The sequence below is a fragment of the Homo sapiens genome, chromosome 10 (genome assembly GCF_000001405.40).
Source record: "Homo sapiens chromosome 10, GRCh38.p14 Primary Assembly".
Lineage (NCBI taxonomy): Eukaryota > Metazoa > Chordata > Mammalia > Primates > Hominidae > Homo > Homo sapiens.
The window spans coordinates 129,717,997-129,740,984 of NC_000010.11; the positions used below are offsets into that span (position 1 = coordinate 129,717,997).

The window sequence follows — 22,988 nt, forward strand, 5'->3', positions numbered from 1 at the left end:
CCCAGGATGTTTCTCTGTCAACCCATGTGCTGTGAGAGACACACAGAGCTCTTTCTGTGTTAGCCAGCTGACCACAGCACGACCCCAACGTGGGGACACTTGACTTTGGTTTGGCCTCTGAGATAATGTCTTGGTTTTAAGGCCAGGACTTCTAATGCCCTAGAAGATGAATATGATTTACACGACCAGAGCTACAAGGCAAAGCTCATCTCTTCTGCTTCATCTGCTGAATGTGCACAGGGAGCTTTAGGCTTCGACCTGGCATGCAGTGACAGTCTGTGAAGGCAGTGGCGCTTCGGGCTAGGTGTCTCCTTGTGTCGGAGACCTGTGGAATCCAGCAGCTCCGTCTGATCGTATAGTTAGGAAAACCAAGGGGACTAGAGAATGGCACTGCTGAGTGCGGGCAGTGGTGGCTGCCCCCCACCCCCACCCTGGGCAAGTGAGGTCAGGCCTGGCCCTGCTTGCCCTCCATTTCGAAGGGCAATTCTTCACTCCAGGCTTGCACAGCTGACCCGAGAGTGAGTGTCTCTGAGCAGCTGTGGCTCTCAGTCACTTACCCCCTCACCTTCTCACTTCTCTTCATGGGTCTTCCAGGATCTGAGGGATGAAGCCAGACACACCTCCTGCCCTTCCTTTGTCCTCTCCTGGTGAGTGTCACCTTCCCGGGCTGTCAAGAGCTGGACCATGTGCCCACTCAGGTGTGTCACCTTCCTGGGCTGTCTAGAGCCAGTCTGCATGCCTGCTAAGGCGTGTCACCTTCCGCTCAGGTGTGTCACCTTTCTGAGATGTCTAGAGCCAGTCCACGTGCCTGCTCAGGCACATCACCTTCCTAGGCTGTCTAGAGGCAGTCTGTATGCTTGCTCAGGCATGTCACCTTCTGCTCAGGCATGTCACCTTCCCGGGATGTCTAGAGCTAGTTCGTTTGCCCGCTCAGGTGCATCACCTTCCGCTCAGGTGTGTCCCCTTTCTGAGATGTCTAGAGCCGGTCCATGTGCCCGCTCAGGTATGTCACCTTCCTGAGATGTCTAGAGCCGGTCCGTCTGCCTGCTCAGGCGTGTCACCGTCCCAGGCTGTCCAGAGCCGATCTGTGTGCCCATTCAGCTGTGTCACCTTCTGCTCAGGCATGTCACCTTCCCGAGGTGCCCAGAGCTGGTCTGTGTGCCCGCTCAGGCGTGTCACCTTCTGCTCAGGCATGTCACCTTCCCGGGCTGTCTAGAGCTGGTCCGTGTGTCCACTCAGGTACGTCACCTTCCCAGGCTGTCTAGAGCCAGTCCGTGTGCCTGCTCAGATATACTGTCACCATGTGGGCCCTACTCTTGTGTCAGGGCCATTAGCTGGCACATGCTGTGTGGTTGCCTGGTGCGCGCTGGGGCAACCTCGGGAAACACTCTTAGCCTTTGTATTGATCTGTGCAGGCTGCCAAAACAAAGTGATGCCAACTGGGGTCTTATACAACAGAAATCTTTCTCAGCTCTGGAGCCTGGAAGTCCGAGACCGAGGTGCGGCAGGGTGTCAGCTACTCAGACCAAGGTGCTGAGGCTGTCCTGCTTGCCCTGCAGATGGCCGTCTCCTTGCTGCGTCCTCACTAGGCCTTTCCTCTGGGCGTGCATCGCTCGGGTCTCTATATCATAATCTCCCCTTCTTAGAAGGACACCAGTCAGATGGGATTAGGGCTACCTGAACAACCGAATGAGAACTTCTTCACCTCTTAAAGACCCCATCTGCTGATACAGTTGAAATGCCGAGGGTCAGGGCTGCAACATACGAATTTTGGCAGAACATAGTTTAGCCCATAACACCCTTTCCGAGCCTCTGATTATCTGTCTGTAAAGTGGGGACAGTAGTAACAATGTGTAAAATGTCATGAGGGTAAAATGAGGCCACCAAACAGTCAGCAAAAGAAATACCTGCTTATTTCACAGATAGTCTTTTCTCCAAAATCCCAGTGGTAGTTAGCAAGTCAGGACAGCTGACTCCACCTGGTCCTTTGGAACTCAGGGAAGATTGGGCCGTTATTAGGAAGTGCTGCTCTTTGCAGCCAACAGAACTTCCCAAGGACGCCCGCCCTCCGCCCTTGCTTGCTATGTGTACGAGTTACAGGAAGTGTGGCTGGTATAGCCCCGCAGCTGTTCAGAAGGAGTGTTTTGGTTTGTCATCTCCACATGAAATGAATGGAGCCAATTCATACTGTAACTGAGAAAAGAACATTTTTCAACCATTATTTCTTCTCCCTACTCACTGTTAAGCTCTAGGCCACAATAAATGGCTGCCTGCTGGGACTCCTGCACTCTGGGATGACACGTTCAAAGCGTGTGCCCATGTAGGCTGCTGCAAGAGGGTAAGCATGATTGGAGTGGGGTCACTGGGGTCTGGGGAGCCAGCCTCGGCCCCTCCTGGCTCAGCACAGCCCTCGCGGCCTTGGGGGCCCACAGGGTCACTCTCCCCCAACCCTCCCACAGCACCGGGCTGTCTGCTCTGTGCTTCACTCTGCACTAGCTGGTTCCTGAGTACCAGGAGGCATTCTCTGATATGCTATGGATACAGTTATGGACAAAATGGACTCTTAGGAAGGCAGCAAGTAAGGGGAATGGAGGGGCAAAGAGCACACAGCTAAAGATTGCCTGACTCAACTGTGGTAGTCACTGGTGCACTGCAGGTTGGCATTTGCACCCTGCTAGCATGTGCTCCTGAAACTGGGGCCGGAGAGCTTTCTTCTCTGTCTGAGCACTCAGAGCAGTGCCTGCCAATGCTGTGACAATGAACGAATGAATAAGCAAAATGTCAACCCATTTTCAGAGTTTTGTTTAATGTCCCTGGACCTGGATCTCTCTTGAGAGTGAGCATTGAATGGGCCTTCCCTGCCCCTACTGAGAGCTCAGGGCATGGACCCCAAACGCTTGGGTCTCTCCTCTTCCCTCTTCTGTTGTAAATTTAAATGTCAGGGGGAAAAAAAAAAAAGCAAGAAAAATATGTAAATAAATACATTTGCAATCATATGTTATCGGATGAGAAGGGTAGCGGTTTCAAGAGTTACATTCAGAGTAATCGTTGAGCACATTGATGGCAAGTTGATAGTTTCGTTATTATGAAATATTTACTTTGGACAAAGGAGTATTCAAAACTGACTTACGAGGTATAAATAATAAAGGACAAAGTCATATATATGCCACCCAGGTGATGTAATAATTTGTTTTCTTCCCTTCTGTCAGTAGACATTTGGGTTCTGAAGTTTTTGCCTTTAAAACTAATGATGTTACAGATATTCTAGGTTGTGTGCCCTAGTGCTCCAGCTGGCTGGAATTCATGGGCGGAGTTCGCGAGAAGAGGGAACTATACAGAGAAAGAATTCCAGAGGTCTGCATGGTATCCCATTGAGTCTGTTGCAGATTACAAAGTCATACATGCATTTGTAAACCACATGAAACCAGACAACTATTGGGGAACTATAAGTTGAACAAATTTCAGATAAGTGAACCTCACTAGAACTAGAAAATATGTGGACAAGTATGAAAATTTTCTTCTATTATTTTATTTAAAAGATGATTAACTGTTCATGATAAAGTTAATAAAGATGTATTTTGTAGTTTATAATACACGTAGAAGGAAAACATATGACAACAATAGCATAGAAGATGAGACTGGGGAAATGGAAATACATTGTTCTAAGTTTCTTACTTTATGAACAAGTATAATATTTAAGGGCAGACTTTGATAAATTATGAATGCATATTAAAAATCCTAGAATACCAGTAAAAATAACCAGAATCTATAGCTCATGGGCCAACAGAAAAGATAAAATAGAATGCTAATTCTTTTATTAGAATTAGCATATTAGAATGCTAAAATGTAAAAGAAGATAGGGTAAAGGGGGAACAAAGAACAGATGGGAAAAATAACAAGTTGGCAGACTTAAACCCAATCATATTAATAATTACATTAAATGTAAATGTTTTAAGATTCAAATAAAAAGACATAGATTAGTAGACTGGTTTAAAAAGCCAGAGCCTGTTATATATTTTCTACTAGACAAAAATAATGTAAAATGATGACAGAGTCCTATGTAAAGATGGAAGGAAAAAAAAAGGAATACATTGACAGAAAGATATAAGTAAAATTGTATTTATTTTCAGATCACATAATTATTTACATAGAATATCTTGAATAATGTTGAAAATAACTATTAAAACCAATAAGTGAATTTGAGAAGTTTGAGGATACAATTTTAACATAAAATGTATTCTATTTTTATATAATGTAATTAAAAAGTAAATTATAAAACAGTTGCTTTATGTATTTAACATTAGCATTATTAAAGATTATTATTTAAAGATATGCAAGGCCTCTCTACTAAACAGCATAAAAACATGACTGAAAGAAATTAAAGAAGACCTAAGTAAATGGATCTTTATTAGTTATTGGAAGAGGCGGTGTTACGGAGAGGTCACATCTACACAAATTGCCCTCTGCATTCAGTTCAGTCACACTTTTAAATTATTTCAAAATGCAAAGAGCCTAGAATATTTAAAACAATCTTGAAAAAGAAGAATGAATTTGTAGGACTTACATTACCTGGTTTCAAGACTTCCTACAAATCTGTGGTAATCAAGACACTGCAGTAAGGATCAAAACTTAGAACAGTGCAACAGAGAGAGAGACCAGTGTTTTTTCAGTTCTTGTATCTTTGAGAAAGACACAAAGTAGATCAATGAGGAAAGTAAAGTCTTGTTGGCCAGGCATGGTGGCTTACGCCTGTAACCCCAGCACTTTGTGAGGCCATGGCAGGCGGATCACTTGAGGCCAGGAGTTCAAGACCAGCCTTGCAAACATAGCAAGACCCTGTCTCTACTAAAAACACAAAAAACAGCCAAGCATGGTGGTGCACACCTGTAATCCCAGCTACTCGGGAGGCTAAGGCATATGAATCACTTGAACCCAGGAGACAGAGGTTGCAGTGAGCTGAGATCATGCCACTGCATTCCAGTTTGGGTGACAGAGGAAGACTCTATCACAAAAAAAAAAAAAAAAAAAAAAAAAAGTCTTGTCAACTAATGGTGCTGAGCAACTGGATATCCATTTTTTTTTCCATTCCATTTTCAGATCACTTTAATGGTTAGAAATTTGTTCCATAACTTATTTATTTCCATAGGTTTTTGGGGAACAGATGGTATTTGGTTACATGAGTAAGTTCTTTAGTGGTGGTTTGTGAGATTTTGTGCACCCATTACACGAGCAGTATACACTGAACGTGATATGTAGTCTTTCATCCCTCACCCACTTCCCAACCATTCCCCCTGAGTCCCCAAAGTCTATTGTGTCATTCTTATGTCTTTACCTCCTCATAGCTTAGCTCCCGTGGATAACCATTTTCAGATAAATATTATTCACCATGACCTTGACCTCACACCATACACAAAAATTAATCTGAACTATATCATATACCTAAAGGAGAAGCTGAAACTCTAAAGCTCTTAGAAGAAAACATGAGTATTTTTCTGATTTGGGTAGGCACACATTTCTTATAACACCAAAATAAAAAACAATGAAAGAAATTATTAATAAATTAAACTTTATTAAAAGACTTCATTAAGTAAATGAGGAACAGGCCACAGAATGAGAGAAATTTTTACAAAACACATATCTGACAAAGGACTTCTAAGAAGGGTATATGAAGACTCTGATAACTCCATAAAAGGACCAACAACCCAGTAAATAACTGGACAAAATATCTCACATTTTCATCGCAAAGACACATAATACACAGATTGGCCCCTGAGCTCATGAGAAAGTGCTCGGCATCATCAGTCATTAGGGAAGTACAGGTTAAAACCACAGTGAAAGACATCTGCATATATCCCAGGGCAGCTCAGATCAGACACCACCAAGTGTCGCAGAGACTGCCGCAGCCTCGCCTCTCGTATACATTGGTGGGTGTTAAAATGTTGTAACCTCTTTGCAAAAGGTCTAGCAGCTGCTTATAAAACTAAGTGTTCTCCTACCCCGCTACCCAACAATTCCACTCTAGGGCATTTATCCAGGAGAAATTAAAACCTACGTCCACAAAAACGTATTCAAGAGTGTTCACAGCAGCTTTGCTTGCTTTATTTATAATTGCTGCAATTGGGAATTGCTTGTATGTCCATCTGTAGGAAAGTGGATAAATTACCTGAGGGATATCCATGTAGAGCCTGTTCCTATCTGTGAACTTAGCATTGAAAAGGAATAATCCACAGACACACACAGCCTCGTGGATGAGTCTCGGTAACGTCATGCTGAGCTTAAGGAGCCGGACACAGCAAGAGCCTGCCTCTGATTATATTTATTGAAGCTCTGCAGTTGCCAAAAACAATCTGGATAGGGAAAAGTTAGAAGAGGAACTGCTTCTGGGGTTGTGCAGGCAGTGAGAAACTGGGAAGGGGCATGAGGGAATGTTCTAGACCATGACGGCCATGGTCTATATCTTAACAGGTTAGGTCACATAGGTATCTATCTGTGTTTGTCAGAATTCATCAAATGATGTTGAAGATGGTACATTTCACTGTGTGTGTAAATTCCACCTTAAAGGAAAAAAGAACCATAAATGGACATTGAACTCTTAATGGTATATGTGCTGAAGGACTTGGAGAGAGTACACTGATGTCTGCAGCTTATTTTGAAATGCAGCAAAAATAATAATAAAATGGATATGGGGTGGAGAGATGGATAGATATATGATAAAAACAAATACAGGCTAAAATGTCAATTATATCATCTGAGGTATAAAGCTATTCATTGTAAAACTCTTCCAACTCTATGTGGCTGGGGTTTTTCATAATATGTTGGAGGAAAATAGTAAATATTATGGATTTTTATTCCTTGAAAGCAAATTTGGGGGAAAGATCATGAAAACTGTGGCCTCCTTATCCCAGATGGTGAAGATACAACCTAGTATGGCCTCAGCGAGATACTGAGTGCACTCTCAGTTTGCACCTGGAGGGCAGGGTGAGTCTGGGAGGTCTGTGAATTGTCAGTGGACCTCCCGGTCCTCTCCAGAGCCCTGCAGGATCGGGTGGATACACTGACCTGATGGACAGGAAGAGGAAGCCTCTGGGCCAGACCTTTGGACACTGTTGCCTTACTCTTCTTCTCTCCAGCCAAGCGAGTGGCCTTGGGAGGTGAGTGTGGTGTCGCCTTGCAGCCTTGCACTCAGCTTTGCAGCCGTCCCTGTCCAGCCAGCTTCCACGCAAGTGGAAGACACACAGAATCCACAGCCCAGGCAGCTGCTCTCACCTGTGTGTGGAGCACAGGGTGCCCATCCTCAGAGACCCTGCCCAGCCCCTCGCTGCCATCCCCTCTGCTAGACCAGGCATGTGGGTCAGCGCTGCCCTGTCTGGCCCGAAGTTCCATGTCAGTAGCCGTGGATCAAATGATGAAGGCAGAGTTATCTAATTACGGAGTGTTTTCTCTAATATTTCCACAGCCTGCTGCTGTCATGGAACATGGAGATTCATTACTTAGAATGTCAAATTAATAGCGTTCCTGGACCTGAAACATCATTGTGTCAACTTCTCCACCTTTTCCAGGTGGTGGTTTGAGTTTGTGCACATGGCATGCCTATTGCCCCAGCACGGCCACAGCTTTCCAAAGTGCCGCCCAGGGCTGGGGTCTGCCCACTTCCTCGGAGGTCTGTCCATGCTCTGGGCAGGCTACAGCCTGCAGGATGCAGATGCCCAGATTGGAGCAGCACCCTGTGCCCTCAAGAGGAGCACAGCTCACACATCCACGTAACTCTTGTCCTTAGCAGTAGTGAGGGGCTTCTGCAGGCAGAGGAGTCGGCTCCACGGTCCTCCATGTAAACTACCGGGATCAGGAGCCTAGGGTTCAATTCTGCTGTCACGTGTCTGCACTGTAGCCTGTTCTGCCTTCTCAACCAGCCCCTTCTAGCTCCTGGGGCAGTTTCTCTTTAGCTGAAACTTCCCTTCATCTTCCACCAATACCATGTTGCGTTACAGTTTCCCTCTTCTCACAGAACGAGCCTTGGGAGAGGAGTGTGTTCTGTCACACAGCCTGGCCATGGCTCAGGTCCACAAGGTCAGCTCCAGACTCTCAGTGCAATGAGGGACCATGAGTAGCTTCTGCTTGCTGAGTGCTTTCCAAGTGGCGGGGCCTCTGCCAAGTGCTTTGTGATCCTCATATCCAAGTGGAGGAAACTCAACTTTAGACAGTGACTGAGCTCCAACAGCTGATCCTTGGCACAGATGAGACTTGAACCTGGGTCCTTCTGACTCCAGAATGCAAGCTCATAGGAAGGGGTAAATTTACTGGGAAGATCTCTGCTGGCCAGGTCCTTGATGGCACAGGGCCACGTGCAGGTGGAGTCCAGGCGAGACTTGTCCTTGGGAACACGAGCTGGTTTTGAAGCTACTGTAGTCCTGGGTTGCCCGCCCATGGGTGTTGTGAGGACGCTCTCCAGCATCACTGCTGCCCACGTGCCCTGAGGGGTCTTAGGTTCCACCCCAGGTCACATTCAGTGTTTTGTCTGATTCTTCACCAGAAGGGAGCAGCCTCACGCAGACTGAGCAGGAACAGTGGCATTGGTGTTTTCCACAGATCTTTTGGAAGAATTTGAACTTCTGATCATGTATATATGACACTTTTTAAAGTTTTAAGTGATGCATGGAAACTTGATATTGTAAATTTAAATATCAGTCATTTTCAGTTTTGTCTCTTTGCTGCTCAAAATGAAAAATCTTCTCACTCTTCCCCTACTCCATAATATGGTCATGGAGTTTTGACCTAATTAAAAGCATCAGAATTAAGTTGCTAAGTTTGAATGGGAATGTAGTGGTGTTTAAGGGGACTTAGGAGACCCTGTCCTCATGTCCTTTCTGTCACTATAGGTTTTGTTACTGTTTAAAGTCCATCTGCCCAGCTTTTAGATAATTAATTCTAATTTTGAGAACTTGGGAGATGTTGCAAAAACTGTTGGAGCTGATTTTAAGATTGGTGTAATATACCTGGTATTACTAGAGTCAGTCAGTGAAGTCATAGATGAAGTTGTGACATTTGGCCCAGGGTTCCCTGCTGAATTCTGAAATACCATGATGCTATCAAGAGAAGAGCCATGGGTTAGCCAGTCTCCATGTGACACCCAGTGAGCTTCACTGCTGGTACTCCCACTCTTGTTCCTTCTCGGATGGAGTCAGGTCTGGCCCCAAGCTACAGCAGGATATGGAGGAAGTGATGGTGTGCGACTTCCGAGGCTAGGTCATAAGAGGCCTTGCAGCTCCCAGTGTCCTCAGTCACCTGCTGTGAGGGCAGCCAGTACCATGTCAGAGGACATACAGGCAGCCCCAGGAGAGGCCCATGTGGTGAGGAGCCAGGGAAGTCAGCCCTGTTGGAAATAGATCCTCCAGCCCCAGTCGAGCCTTCGGATGAGTGCAGCTATGCAGAAGACCCCAAGTGACAACTGCTGAGCCCGACCCTTCTGAATTCAAGGCCATGAAAGAAAGGTCATTTGTGTTGTTTGGGGCCACGAAGTTGGGGATTATCTGTTACCTGTCTGTAGTGACTGGCACAAGATGTGAGGCACTCCCCAGTAGTTACTTATTCATCACACTTCCTTTCATAGCTGGTCCTTGTCCTTTCCTCTGGTGTAAAGTACAGACTGTGAAGACCCGCCCTCTGTTCCTTCCAGCTGTTTTTGGCTGTCTCTTGTGTACAAATGCTGTAGGAGATGCAAAGGTGACTCGCAGCATCCCCCAAGAATGCCTGGGCTTGGTGCTGCCAGAAAGGTATATGAGGAGCCCCGGGTAAGCCAGCACTGCAGGCAGCAAGGTAGCCTTCAGCTGTGTGGGCTGGGGAGAACTTCATGGAGGAGGTAGCATTTGCACCAGACTTTGAGGTAGATGGGATTTGAACACATGGAGTAAGGGGAAACAACATAGACTGAGGCTGGGCCTGTGTGTGAAACAGCAAGCAATCCCTTCTGGCTGGAGCAGGGGAGGGTGTGAGGAGGGGCTGCCAGCCTCCCTCCAGGCCAAGAAGGCCATCAGGTCTCACTGGGGGACAGTGAGGAGCTACTCAAGGCATGATGGGAGCCAGGCTGGACTTGAACAGGACTCATTGGACTGTCCAGGTGCTGGGTGAGAGAGGGAGGAGGGGACATGGAGCCAGCACCAGGGGACAAGGGGGACCTGAAGCAGCTGTGACCGTGGATGGCAGGGAAAAGAAGAAGAAGGGATTCATTTTGGCATAGAGTTGGGAATTGCAGCAGTCACTTGAGAATGACAGAGATGGGAAGGTTAGGGATTAGGGTCAGTGGCATGGACGTGAGCGATGAACCCATACAAGTGGGTGAGAAAAAGGCTGAAGAAGGTGAGGCAGCATAGGGAGTGGGTGACGCCAGTGATGGCTGATGTGGTGTGACCAGAGGAAGGGGCCAAGGGGGCGGACCCCGCAGGGTCCATAATGGTGGTGATTGCCTTGGGGGAGTTCAGGGGTCGCAGAAGAGGACCTGATTATGCCATCCTCACTTGTAAATTCTGCTTGGTCTCCTGACGCTATCAGGGTCAGACCCAGCCCTCTCATGGCCCGCTGTGTGGCATGTGCTGCTCCCTGGCTCTTGCCCATGCCCCTCCTCCTGGCCAAGCCACACTCCACCTGCATCAGCCATAGGCCCTCCCGCCACTGCCCGCCTGCAGGTCTCAGCACCAGCGTTGCCTCCCCAGAAGCCTCCCTGACCATGGTCCCTGTTGTGTGCCCCACCACCCCCTGTTCTCTGTCCCCCTGGTATTGGTTCGTCTGCTTGTGGTAACTGCTGAATGCCAGCCCCAATGCCCCCGCCTCCCATCGCCATCAGCGTCACCAGCATCACAAAGGTCAGCACGAGGTAGCTGCTCACAGAATATTTATTAAGAATAAGAAATTAATAAAGGGACTAATTGGTAAATCTTAACATGCCCACACTGGGTCTTTTCCCCATGTCACGTGAGCCTGAACTTGGAACATCCATATTTCCAGAAGACATCAGGCTCTTTCTCTAGTGACCTTAGAAATCCCCGCATTGAAGGGAGATGGCCCTGGCATGGGGCCCCTGCCACTGGGTGGGGAGGGGTGGGGACCAGACTGTGCCAGGGACCCCAAGGAGTTGGAGGGTGCAGAGCTTCTTGACCTGAGTGGACAGGGAGACCCTCTGAGCTCATCCTCTGTAACAGGATGAGCATGGACTCTTCAGGGGACAAACTTCGTGCCTCGTGTGAAAAACGAAAGGGCCCCACGGGCTGTGTCTGATGGTGTTACCCACTGCACAGGGAAGGCACCTTTGCACCCCAGTCCCAGCCAGGAGAGCAGCAGGTCGCAATGTCTTGCTAGCCTGGCCCCTCTGCCCTCAATGACTTTGCAAGCACCTTGGCCTCCCTGTCCCACTCCCCTGCCGGCACCTGCGTGTCCCTGTCCTGCCGAGCTGCCAGCCTCACCTGCGTGCCTCTCGTCCTCATTTGAATAGGTGAGCAACCAAAGTCAGCTGTGCCGTTGGAGCCGGATTCCATCACTCAAAATCCAGGCACAGCTCCTTTTGAATTCCTCAGCTGCCCCGAGGCAGGGGCTCAATGTTGATACTGAGATTAATCCCCAAAGAGCTTCTCATTTCTCTGCAGAGAAATTAAAGCTTGCCAGTTTCCTTTTGCCCGTCCTTCTGACAGCTCTGTCAGTAATGATATGCCTGCCGCGTGGCATAATCCGTGTCCCGTGGTAAAGAATAATTCATTAAGAAATTTAGGGCCCAGCTCCTTTCCGTTGGGTTGGTCTTCAAAAGTTAACTAATGGCGGCAGCAGCACGATGATCAATGGAAAATTATTGAACAGAGCTCAGGGCTGCTTCAGACCAGCTCAAGGAGCCACCTGGGTGGAGAGCAGTCAGACCCACCCACCCCCTTAGATTTGTCAGCATTCCCTGAAACACAGTCAGACGGTGTTGATATGAGGTGTCTGCTGGGCGTGGACAGTGGGGTGGATGGGGTACTGCCCTAGTTTGGGAAGCAGCTTATTTTTAGCCTTGTAGAAGCAGCGTGAAGTGTCTACTGGTAAAGCCAGCACGACTTCTCCTCCCTTCTGAACACCAGCAAGAAGCTTCTAGATGTTTCTGATGAACAAATAGGAGTTCCTGTACTGGCTGAGAGGGGCAGCCTACATACTTAGGTTCTTTGGGGAGGTCAGTGCGTTTTTAGCAACCATTGGCGCATTGAGCATGAAATGGCGTGGAGCTGAAACTCACTACCAACTGCAGTGAAACCAACAAATGGAAGACGTGAACTGATGCTGGCCCTAATGACTCTGGGCAAGACGAGGGACATTATTGTTTTGCATGCATTGATAATGTGTCATCTGGAATCAGATTTTCTACTTTCATGTTGTTCGATAACAAGGTTGTGCCCTGTGAGTCTGGGATTGTGTGAGGCGAGCGTGCGTATTCATTCTACTGCAGAGGAGGCTGGGGAGGAATCAGAGCATCCTGTGTCTGCAAGGTCTGGCGTGTTTCTAAGGGAAGGCAGAGAAAGCCAGTGCTCCAAAGACAGCAGAGCAGACGCGAGGTTTGCAGGCATGAGGATGACAAATGAAATTCGCAGAATTCCTCAGACTTGATTTCCCTCCCTTCTATAATTAACCTCAGGGATACCTTGACTGCGCTGAGGTCCATGTGCTTGAGCACTTGCTGTCCTGCTTGCCCTGCCCTCCTCTGATTTTTTTTTGCACAGCATGATTCTATTTCTGCTATTGTTCAGAAACCATTAGCACCTATTCAGAAGTCAGTTATTCAGCTTTGAGCTGAATGACAATTATTTGAATGGTAAAGGGTGTTAATGTATAATTATTCACATTCATACCAGGACAGTCACAGTTTAATCATTTCTCTGTAGGCTTCCTTAAGTTTGTGCTTAAAGTCTTAGGCATAATTCTTTTGTTAAATAAGTTTAGGAGGCTCTAAGTATTGGGAAAGTGAGTATAAATACGCCTCTGGGGGAGCTTCAAGGATGTGGTGCCTCACCTCCAGGAGCGAGCCTCCTAGGTGAAACTGTCACTAGGCGCCCCACACTTCAGCCAGGAGGAAGGTCCATTTCCGAGGGCTGGTAGCATAATCTGGCCTCCAGGTGAGCTCTGAGGTCGTGTTCTGGCGTGCCCAGGACTAGATGGAGCCTACCGGGGCATTCCTATGTGTGACACAGAGCCCTGCCAGGCCCGGTCGGGCTCAGAGTGGGCTTAAATTAACCCTTCAGACCCTCGATTCCTCTGGACCCCTCTTTAAGATGATTGACGACCCCAAAGAGCTTTTGATGATAAGGGCTATATTGTGCACATTTGCCATATTGGAAATTAAACCTAAGACTTTTTTTTTTTTTTTTTTTTTTTTGCGACGGAGTCTCGCTCTGTTGCCCAAGCTTGAGTGCAGTGACACGATCTCGGCTTACTGCAACATCTGCCTCCTGGGTTCAAGAGATTCTTCTGCCTCAGCTTCATACACCCTGCATATGCCGGCTGCCTCCTCAAGCAGTACAGCTGGGATTACAGGCACCCGCCACCACACCCGGCTGATTTTAGTGTTTTTAGTAGAGTTGCGGTTTCACCATTTTGGCCAGGCTGGTCTTGAACTCCTGATCTTGTGATCCACCTGCCTCGGCCTCCCAAAGTGCTGGGATTACAGGCCTGAGCCACCACGCCCTGCCCTGAGACTTTTTAAATGTATTAACTTATTTAAAAATAACAACAGTAAACCTATGGCAGGATATCATAGGTAATATGCTTCTGGAAATGAGTTTTCCAAGACAGACACTTGAGGAGAGTGGCACTGTTGTCCATTTTTGCAGAATGGAATGCCTTGATGCCTGCCTCAGTGGAAGACAGCTGGGTTCTCAGATCTGCCTCTGCGTTTAATCCGTTGTGTTGTCACATCACGTAGCCCCCAGAAAACTCTTTTGTCACCTGTAAGAGAATGAGAATCTAAAAGGCAAATAACATCCTAGTATTGCTATGGAAATGATTTTGACCTCACAAACCCCCTAAAGGGGTCTCAGTGACCCCTGATGATCCCTAGACCACATTTTGAGAATCTCTGTTCTAAAAAGTCCATTTCTTTTACTCTAAAATATTACTCACATTGCCTGATATGTTGTGGGCTCCTCCTTTTTTAAATTTTTTTTATTATACTTTAAGTTCTAGGGTACATGTACACAATGTGCAGGTTTGTTACGTAGGTATACATGTGCTATGTTGGTGTGCTGCACCCATCTATTCGTCATTTATATTAGGTATTTCTCCTAATGCTATCCCTCCCCCAACCCCCCACCCCCCGACAGGCCCCAGTGTGTGATGTTCCCTGCCCTGTGTCCATGTGTTCTCATTGTTCAGTTCCCACCTGTGAGTGAGAACATGCGGTGTTTGGTTTTCTGTCCTTGTGATAGTTTGCTTAGAATGATGGTTTCCAACTTCATCCATGTCCCTGCAAAGGACATGAACTCATCCTTTTTTATGGCTGCATGGTATTCCATAGTGTACACATGCCACATTTTCTTTTTTTTTGGCATTTTTTTTAATTTATTATTATTATACTTTAAGTTTTAGGGTGCATGTGCATAATGTGCAGGTTAGTTACATATGTATACATGTGCCATGCTTGTGCACTGCACCCACTAACTCGTCATCTAGCATTAGGTATATCTCCCAATGCTATCCCTCCCCCGTCCCCCCACCCCACAACAGTCCCCAGAATGTGATGTTCGCCTTCCTGTGTCCATGTGTTCTCATTGTTCAGTTCCCACCTATGAGTGAGAATATGCAGTGTTTGGTTTTTTGTTCTTGCGATAGTTTACTGAGAATGATGATTTCCAATTTCATCCATGTCCCTACAAAGGACATGAACTCATCATTTTTTATGGCTGCATAGTATTCCATGGTGTATATGTGCCACATTTTCTTAATCCAGTCTATCATTGTTGGACATTTGGGTTGGTTCCAAGTCTTTGCTATTGTAAATAATGCCGCAATAAACATACGTGTGCACGTGTCTTTATAGCAGCATGATTTATAGTCCTTTGGGTATATACCCAGTAATGGGATGGCTGGGTCAAATGGTATTTCTAGTTCTAGATCCCTGAGGAATCGCCACACTGACTTCCACAATGGTTGAACTAGTTTACAGTCCCACCAACAGTGTAAAAGTGTTCCTATTTCTCCACATCCTCTCCAGCACCTGTTGTTTCCTGACTTTTTAATGATTGCCATTCTAACTGGTGTGAGACGGTATCTCATTGTGGTTTGGATTTGCATTTCTCTGATGGCCAGTGATGGTGAGCATTTTTTCATGTGTTTTTTGGCTGCATAAATGTCTACTTTTGAGAAGTGTCTGTTCATGTCCTTCGCCCACTTTTTTGATGGGGTTGTTTGTTTTTTTCTTGTAAATTTGTTTGAGTTCATTGTAGATTCTGGATATTAGCCCTTTGTCAGATGAGTAGGTTGCGAAAATTTTCTCCCATTTTGTAGGTTGCCTGTTCACTCTGATGGTAGTTTCTTTTGCTGTGCAGAAGCTCTTTAGTTTAATTAGATCCCATTTGTCAATTTTGTCTTTTGTTGCCATTGCTTTTGGTGTCTTAGACATGAAGTCCTTGCCCATGCCTATGTCCTGAATGGTAATGCCTAGGTTTTCTTCTAGGTTTTTTATGGTTTTAGGTCTAACGTTTAAGTCTTTAATCCATCTTGAATTGATTTTTGTATAAGGTGTAAGGAAGGGATCCAGTTTCAACTTTCTACATATGGCTAGCCAGTTTTCCCAGCACCATTTATTAAATAGGGAATACTTTCCCCATTGCTTGTTTTTGTCAGGTTTGTCAAAGATCAGATAGTTGTAGATATGCGGCGTTATTTCTGAGGACTCTGTTCTGTTCCATTGGTCTATATCTCTGTTTTGGTACCAGTACCATGCTGTTTTGGTTACTGTAGCCTTGTAGTATAGTTTGAAGTCAGGTAGTGTGATGCCTCCAGCTTTGTTCTTTTGGCTTAGGATTGACTTGGCGATGCGGGCTCTTTTTTGGTTCCATACGAACTTTAAAGTAGTTTTTTCCAATTCTGTGAAGAAAGTCATTGGTAGCTTGATGGGGATGGCACTGAATCTGTAAATTACCTTGGGCAGTATGGCCATTTTCACGATATTGATTCTTCCTACCCATGAGCATGGAATGTTCTTCCATTTGTTTGTATCCTCTTTTATTTCATTGAGCAGTGGTTTGTAGTTCTCCTTGAAGAGGTCCTTCACATCCCTTGTAAGTTGGATTCCTAGGTATTTTATTCTCTTTGAAGTGATTGTGAATGGGAGTTCACTCATGATTTGGCTCTCTGTTTGTCTGTTATTGGTGTATAAGAATGCTTGTGATTTTTGTACATTGATTTTGTATCCTGAGACTTTGCTGAAGTTGCTTTTCAGCTTAAGGAGATTTTGGGCTGAGACAGTGGGGTCTTCTGGATATACAATCATGTCATCTGCAAACAGGGACAATTTTACTTCCTCTTTTCCTAATTGAATACCCTTTATTTCCTTCTCCTGCCTGATTGCCCTGGCCAGAACTTCCAACACTATGTTGAATAGGAGTGGTGAGAGAGGGTATCCCTGTCTTGTGCCAGTTTTCAAAGGGAATGCTTCCAGTTTTTGCCCATTCAGTATGATATTGGCTGTGGGTTTGTCATAGATAGCACTTATTATTTTGAGATACGTCCCATCAATACCTAATTTATTGAGAGTTTTTAGCATGAAGGGTTGTTGAATTTTGTCAAAGGCCTTTTCTGCATCTATTGAGATAATCATGTAGTTTTTGTCTTTGGTTCTGTTTATATGCTGGATTACATTTATTGATTTGCATATATTGAACCAGCCTTGCATCCCAGGGATGAAGCCCACTTGATCATGGTGGATCAGCTTTTTGATGTGCTGCTGGATTCGGTTTGCCAGTATTTTATTGAGGATTTTTGCATCAATGTTAATTAAGGATATTGGTCTAAAATTCTCTTTTTTGGTTGTGTCTCTGCCCAGCTTTGGTATCAGGATGATGCTGGCCTCATAAAATGAGTTAGGGAGGATTCCCTCCTTTTCTATTGATTGGAATAGTTTCAGAAGCAATGGTACCAGTTCCTCCTTGTACCTCTGGTAGAATTCGGCTGTGAATCCATCTGGTCCTGGACTCTTTTTGTTGATAAGCTATTGATTATTGCCACAATTTCAGCTCCTGTTATTGGTCTATTCAGAGATTCAACTTCTTCCTGGTTTAGTCTTGGGAGAGTGTATGTGTCAAGGAATTTATCCATTTCTTCTAGATTTTCTAGTTTATTTGTGTAGAGGTGTTTGTAGTATTCTCTGATGGTAGTTTGTATTTCTGTGGGATTGGTGATGATATCCCCTTTATCATTTTTTATTGCGTCTATTTGATTCTTCTCTCTCTTTTTCTTTATTAGTCTTGCTAGCGGTCTATCAATTTTGTTGATCCTTTCAAAAAGCCAACTCCTGGATTCGTTAATTTTTTGAAGGGTTTTTTGTGTCTCTATTTCCTTCAGTTCTGCTCTGATTTTAGTTATTTCTTGCCTTCTGCTAGCTTTTGAATGTGTTTGCTCTTGCTTTTCTAGTTCTTTTAATTGTGATGTTAGGGTGTCAATTTTGGATCTTTCCTGCTTTCTCTTGTGGGCATTTAGTGCTATAAATTTCCCTCTACACACTGCTTTGAATGCGTCCCAGAGATTCTGGTATGTTGTGTCTTTGTTCTCGTTGGTTTCAAAGAACATCTTTATTTCTGCCTTCATTTCATTATGTACCCAGTAGTCATTCAGGAGCAGGTTGTTCAGTTTCCATGTAGTTGAGCGGTTTTGAGTGAGATTCTTAATCCTGAGTTCTAGTTTGATTGCACTGTGGTCTGAGAGATAGTTTGTTATAATTTCTGTTCTTTTACATTTGCTGAGGAGAGCTTTACTTCCAAGTATGTGGTCAATTTTGGAATAGGTGTGGTGTGGTGCTGAAAAAAATGTATATTCTGTTGATTTGGGGTGGAGAGTTCTGTAGATGTCTATTAGGTCCTCTTGGTGCAGAGCTGAGTTCAATTCCTGGGTATCCTTGTTGACTTTCTGTCTCGTTGATCTGTCTAATGTTGACAGTGGGGTGTTAAAGTCTCCCATTATTAATGTGTGGGAGTCTAAGTCTCTTTGTAGGTCACTCAGGACTTGCTTTACGAATCTGGGTGCTCCTGTATTGGGTGCATATATATTTAGGATAGTTAGCTCTTCTTGTTGAATTGATCCCTTTACCATTAAGTAATGGCCTTCTTTGTCTCTTTTGATCTTTGTTGGTTTAAAGTGTGTTTTATCAGAGACTAGGATTGCAACCCCTGCCTTTTTTTGTTTTCCATTTGCTTGGTAGATCTTCCTCCATCCTTTTATTTTGAGCCTGTGTGTGTCTCTGCCCGTGAGATGGGTTTCCTGAATACAGCACACTGATGGGTCTTGACTCTTTATCCAATTTGCCAGTCTGTGTCTTTTAATTGGAGCATTTAGTCCATTTACATTTAAAGTTAATATTGTTATGTGTGAATTTGATCCTGTCATTATGATGTTAGCTGGTTATTTTGCTCGTTAGTTGATGCAGTTTTTTCCTAGTCTTGATGGTCTACATTTTGGCATGATTTTGCAGCGGCTGGTACCGGTTGTTCCTTTCCATGTTTAGTGCTTCCTTCAGGAGCTCTTTTAGGGCAGGCCTGGTGGTGACAAAATCTCTCAGCATTTGCTTGTCTGTAAAGTATTTTATTTCTCCTTCACTTAAGAAGCTTAGTTTGGCTGGATATGAAATTCTGGGTTGAAAATTCTTTTCTTTAAGAATGTTGAATATTGGCCCCCATTCTCTTCTGGCTTGTAGAGTTTCTGCCAAGAGATCTGCTGTTAGTCTGATGGGCTTCCCTTTGAGGGTAACCCGACCTTTCTCTCTGGCTGCCCTTAACATTTTTCCTTCATTTCAACTTTGGTGAATCTGACAATTATGTGTCTTGGAGTTGCTCTTCTCGAGGAGTATCTTTGTGGCATTCTCTGTATTTCCTGAATCTGAATGTTGGCCTGCCTTGCTAGATTGGGGAAGTTCTCCTGGATAATATCCTGCAGAGTGTTTTCCAACTTGGTTCCATTCTCCCTGTCACTTTCAGGTACACCAATCAGACATAGATTTGGTATTTTCACATAGTCCCATATTTCTTGGAGGCTGTGCGCGTTTCTTTTTATTCTTTTTTCTCTAAACTTCTCGCTTCATTTCATTCATTTCATCTTCCATCGCTGATACCCTTTCTTCCAGTTGATTGCATCGGCTCCTGAGGCTTCTGCATTCTTCACGTAGTTCTCGAGCCTTGGTTTTCAGCTCCATCAGCTCCTTTAAGCACTTCTCTGTATTGGTTACTCTAGTTATACATTCTTCTAAATTTTTTTCAAAGTTTTCAACTTCTTTGCCTTTGGTTTGAATGTCCTCCCGTAGCTCGGAGTAATTTGATCGTCTGAAGCCTTCTTCTCTCAACTCGTCAAAGTCATTCTCCATCCAGCTTTGTTCCGTTGCTGGTGAGGAACTGCGTTCCTTTGGAGGAGGAGAGGCGCTCTGCTTTTTAGAGTTTCCAGTTTTTCTGCTCTGTTTTTTCCCCATCTTTGTGGTTTTATCTACCTTTGGTCTTTGATGATGGTGATGTACAGATGGGTTTTTGGTGTGGATGTCCTTTCTGTTTGTTAGTTTTCCTTCTAACATACAGGACCCTCAGCTGCAGGTCTGTTGGAGTACCCGGCCGTGTGAGGTGTCAGTCTGGCCCTGCTGGGGGGTGCCTCCCAGTTAGGCTGCTTGAGGGTCAGGGGTCAGGGACCCACTTGAGGAGGCAGTCTGCCCGTTCTCAGATCTGTAGCTGCGTGCTGGGAGAACCACTGCTCTCTTCAAAGCTGTCAGACAGGGACATTTAAGTCTGCAGAGGTTACTGCTGTCTTTTTGTTGGTCTGTGCCCTGCCCCCAGAGGTGGAGCCTACAGAGGCAGGCAGGCCTCCTTGAGCTGTGGTGGGCTCCACCCAGTTCGAGCTTCCCGGCTGCGTTGTTAACCTAAGCAAGCCTGGGCAATGGCGGGTGCCCCTCCCCAAGCCTCGCTGCCACCTTGCAGTTTGATCTCAGACTGCTGTGCTAGCAATCAGCGAGACTCCGTGGGCATAGGACCCTCCAAGCCAGGTGCGGGATATAATCTCCTGGTGCGCCGTTTTTTAAGCCCGTCGGAAAAGGGCAGTATTCAGGTGGGAGTGACCCGATTTTCCAGGTGCCGTCTGTCACCAATTTCTTTGACTAGGAAAGGGAACTCCCTGACCCCTTGCGCTTCCGGAGTGAGGCAATGCCTCGCCCTGCTTTGGCTCGCGCACGGTGCACGCACCCACTGACCTGCGCCCACTGTCTGGCACTCCCTAGTGAGATGAATCCGGTACCTCAGATGGAAATGCAGAAATCACCCATCTTCTGCGTCGCTCACACTGGGAGCTGTAGACCAGAGCTGTTCCTATTCGGCCATCTTGGCTCCTCCCCATGTGCCACATTTTCTTAATCCACATCATTGATGGGCATTTGGGTTGGTTCCAAGTCTTTGCTATTGTGAATAGTGCCGCAGTAAACATACATGTGCATGTGTCTTTATAGTAGCATGATTCACAGCTGAATTCTACCAGAGGTACAAAGAAGAGCTGGTACCATTCCTTCTGAAACTATTCCAATGAATAGAAAAAGAGGGAATCCTCACTAACTCATTTTATGAGGCCAGCATCATCCTAATACCAAAGGCTGGCAGAGACACAACAAAAAAAGAGAATTTTAGGCCAATATCCCTGATGAACATTGATGTGAAAATCTTCAATAAAATGCTGGCAAACCGAATCCAGCAGCACATCAAAAAGTTTATCCACCACCATCAAGTCGGCTTCATCCCTGGGATCCAAGGCTGGTTCAACATACACAAATCAATAAACATGTTCCATCACGTAAACAGAACCAAAGACAAAAACCATATGATTATCTCAATAGATGCAGAAAAGGCCTTCAACAAAATTCAGCAGCGCTTCATGCTAAAAACTCTCAGTAAACTAGGTATTGACGGAACGTATCTCAAATAATAAGAGCTATTTATGACAAACCCACAGCCAATATCATACTGAATGGGCAAAACTGGAAACATTCACTTTGAAAATCGGCACAAGACAAGGATGCAGTCTCTCACCACTCCTGTTCAACATACTGCTGGAAGTTCTGGCTAGGGCAATCAGGCAAGAGAAAGAAATAAAGGGTATTCAATTAGGAAAAGAGGAAGTCAGTTGTCTCTGTTTGCAGATGACATGATTCTATATTTAGAAAACCCCATTGTCTCAGCCCAAAATCTCCTCTTTTTTATTTTCGAAAAAATTACAGCAGAGTTCACTCTTCTTGGTGTGCAGCAGGAGGTGCACGTGCTGTGCTTGTCCATCAGTGTCTGCTTTGTGCATCTCTGTTGACCTGCCTCTAACACTGGGACGAGCATCAGCCAAATCAGAACCAGGTCAGAGCCCCTACGCCCTGGTCAGATCAGAACCAGGTCAGAACTCCCCTACACCACAGTCAGATCAGAACCAGGTCAGAACCCCTATACCAAGCTTGTCCAATCCTCAGCCTGCGAGCCACCTGCAGCCCAGGATAGCTTTGAATGTGGCCCAACATAAATTCATAAACTTTCTTAACACATTATGAGTTTTTTTATGATTTTTTTTAACTCCTCAGCTATCATTAGTGTTAGTTATTTTATATGTGGCCTAAGACAATTCTTCCAGTATGGCTCAGGGAAGCCAAAAGATTAGACACCCCTGCCCTACACCTTGGTCAGATCAGATCCAGGTCAGAGGCCCTACATCCTGTCCCCACAGTGGACAGGTTGGAAATGTAAGGTCGTGTGGCCACTGGGGGCCCAGGATGGGCTCTGCCTCAGAGGCACTTCCTTCCACCTGGCCTGTTTTAATCAACAGTCATTAAAGGGAAATCTAAAGATGTTTAAAACGTTGTGTATTTTCTCGTTAGCAGAGCCAAGAATCAGTCTGCAGGGAGCAAAGAGCTTGAGTGTGGAGTTAGAAGTCGGGGTCCGGGAAAGGGTGCTTGTTTCTGAGGCTAACATGCATCAGGTGCTCCAAGTGGGCTCTCATTGACCCCAGGATGCCATCAGCCCCCTTGCCCTGCCTGGAGTATATCACATGGGCCCTGGGTGCCTGGGCCTGTGGAGCCACAGCTGCTGAGGTCCGGTGTTTTTAAAGCCTGAGAGAGGCCATCTGGGGGTAGCACTACAGGAGATGGGAAGAGGCCCCCAGGAAACCAGGGAGAGCAAGAAGGTCTTCTAAGGACTCATGTCCTCTTACCAACTACCATGTAGTTAAGAATGCCTTACGAAGGGGGACGGGAGAGTCAAGGGATAGAAAATCAGTCCTTAAAATCTGCACTGTCCTTTCCACATACAAAGCACCTTTCACACAGGTGAGCTCATTTACCCTCAGATGGCACTTACTGTTGTGGGAACCTCATTTTACCAGGAGGAAACGGAGGGGCGACAGGACAGCGTTCTAGGAAGTAGCTCAGCTGTGGACATTTTGTGGTGAGCTCTCAGGGACAGCAGCAGGCATGGGATGCCTGCAGAGAGGCTTTCAGGAGAGCGCTGGCCCCACCTGCAGGCCCCCAGGGCGACCTTGGATAGGCTGCCGTCTGGGCCTGGGAGACTTCTCACCTGCAGAGTGGATGATGGGGGACCTTGAGGACTGAACAGGAGAAAGCACACTGAACCGAGCCTGGTACCTAGTAAGCACTCAGTAAGTCTTGGCACTTACTGTGATAATTGCATTTTAAGCCCAGCTACCAAAATTTCCAGACCTACGTTACCATCTTCAAATGAGTGCCCCTACCCGTTTCCCTAACGTTGCTCAAA

The 22,988-nt window shown here is 45.8% G+C and overlaps 1 protein-coding gene across 1 annotated transcript in view, besides 1 other annotated feature; it reads left to right on the forward strand.

The window, feature by feature from the left end:
- Positions 1-22,988, forward strand: part of MGMT (O-6-methylguanine-DNA methyltransferase) — a 303,743-nt gene that overhangs the window by 250,756 nt on the left and 29,999 nt on the right. The window lies entirely within an intron of this gene.
- Positions 169-1,368: an enhancer, noted in NCBI's record as "P300/CBP strongly-dependent group 1 enhancer chr10:131516429-131517628 (GRCh37/hg19 assembly coordinates)". NCBI's record gives its function as "activates an origin of replication core promoter dependent on BRD2, BRD4, P300/CBP, MED14 and CDK7 cofactors, with strong dependence on P300/CBP, by STARR-seq in HCT116 cells {active_cell/tissue: HCT116}" and the evidence as "EXISTENCE:reporter gene assay evidence [ECO:0000049][PMID:35650434]".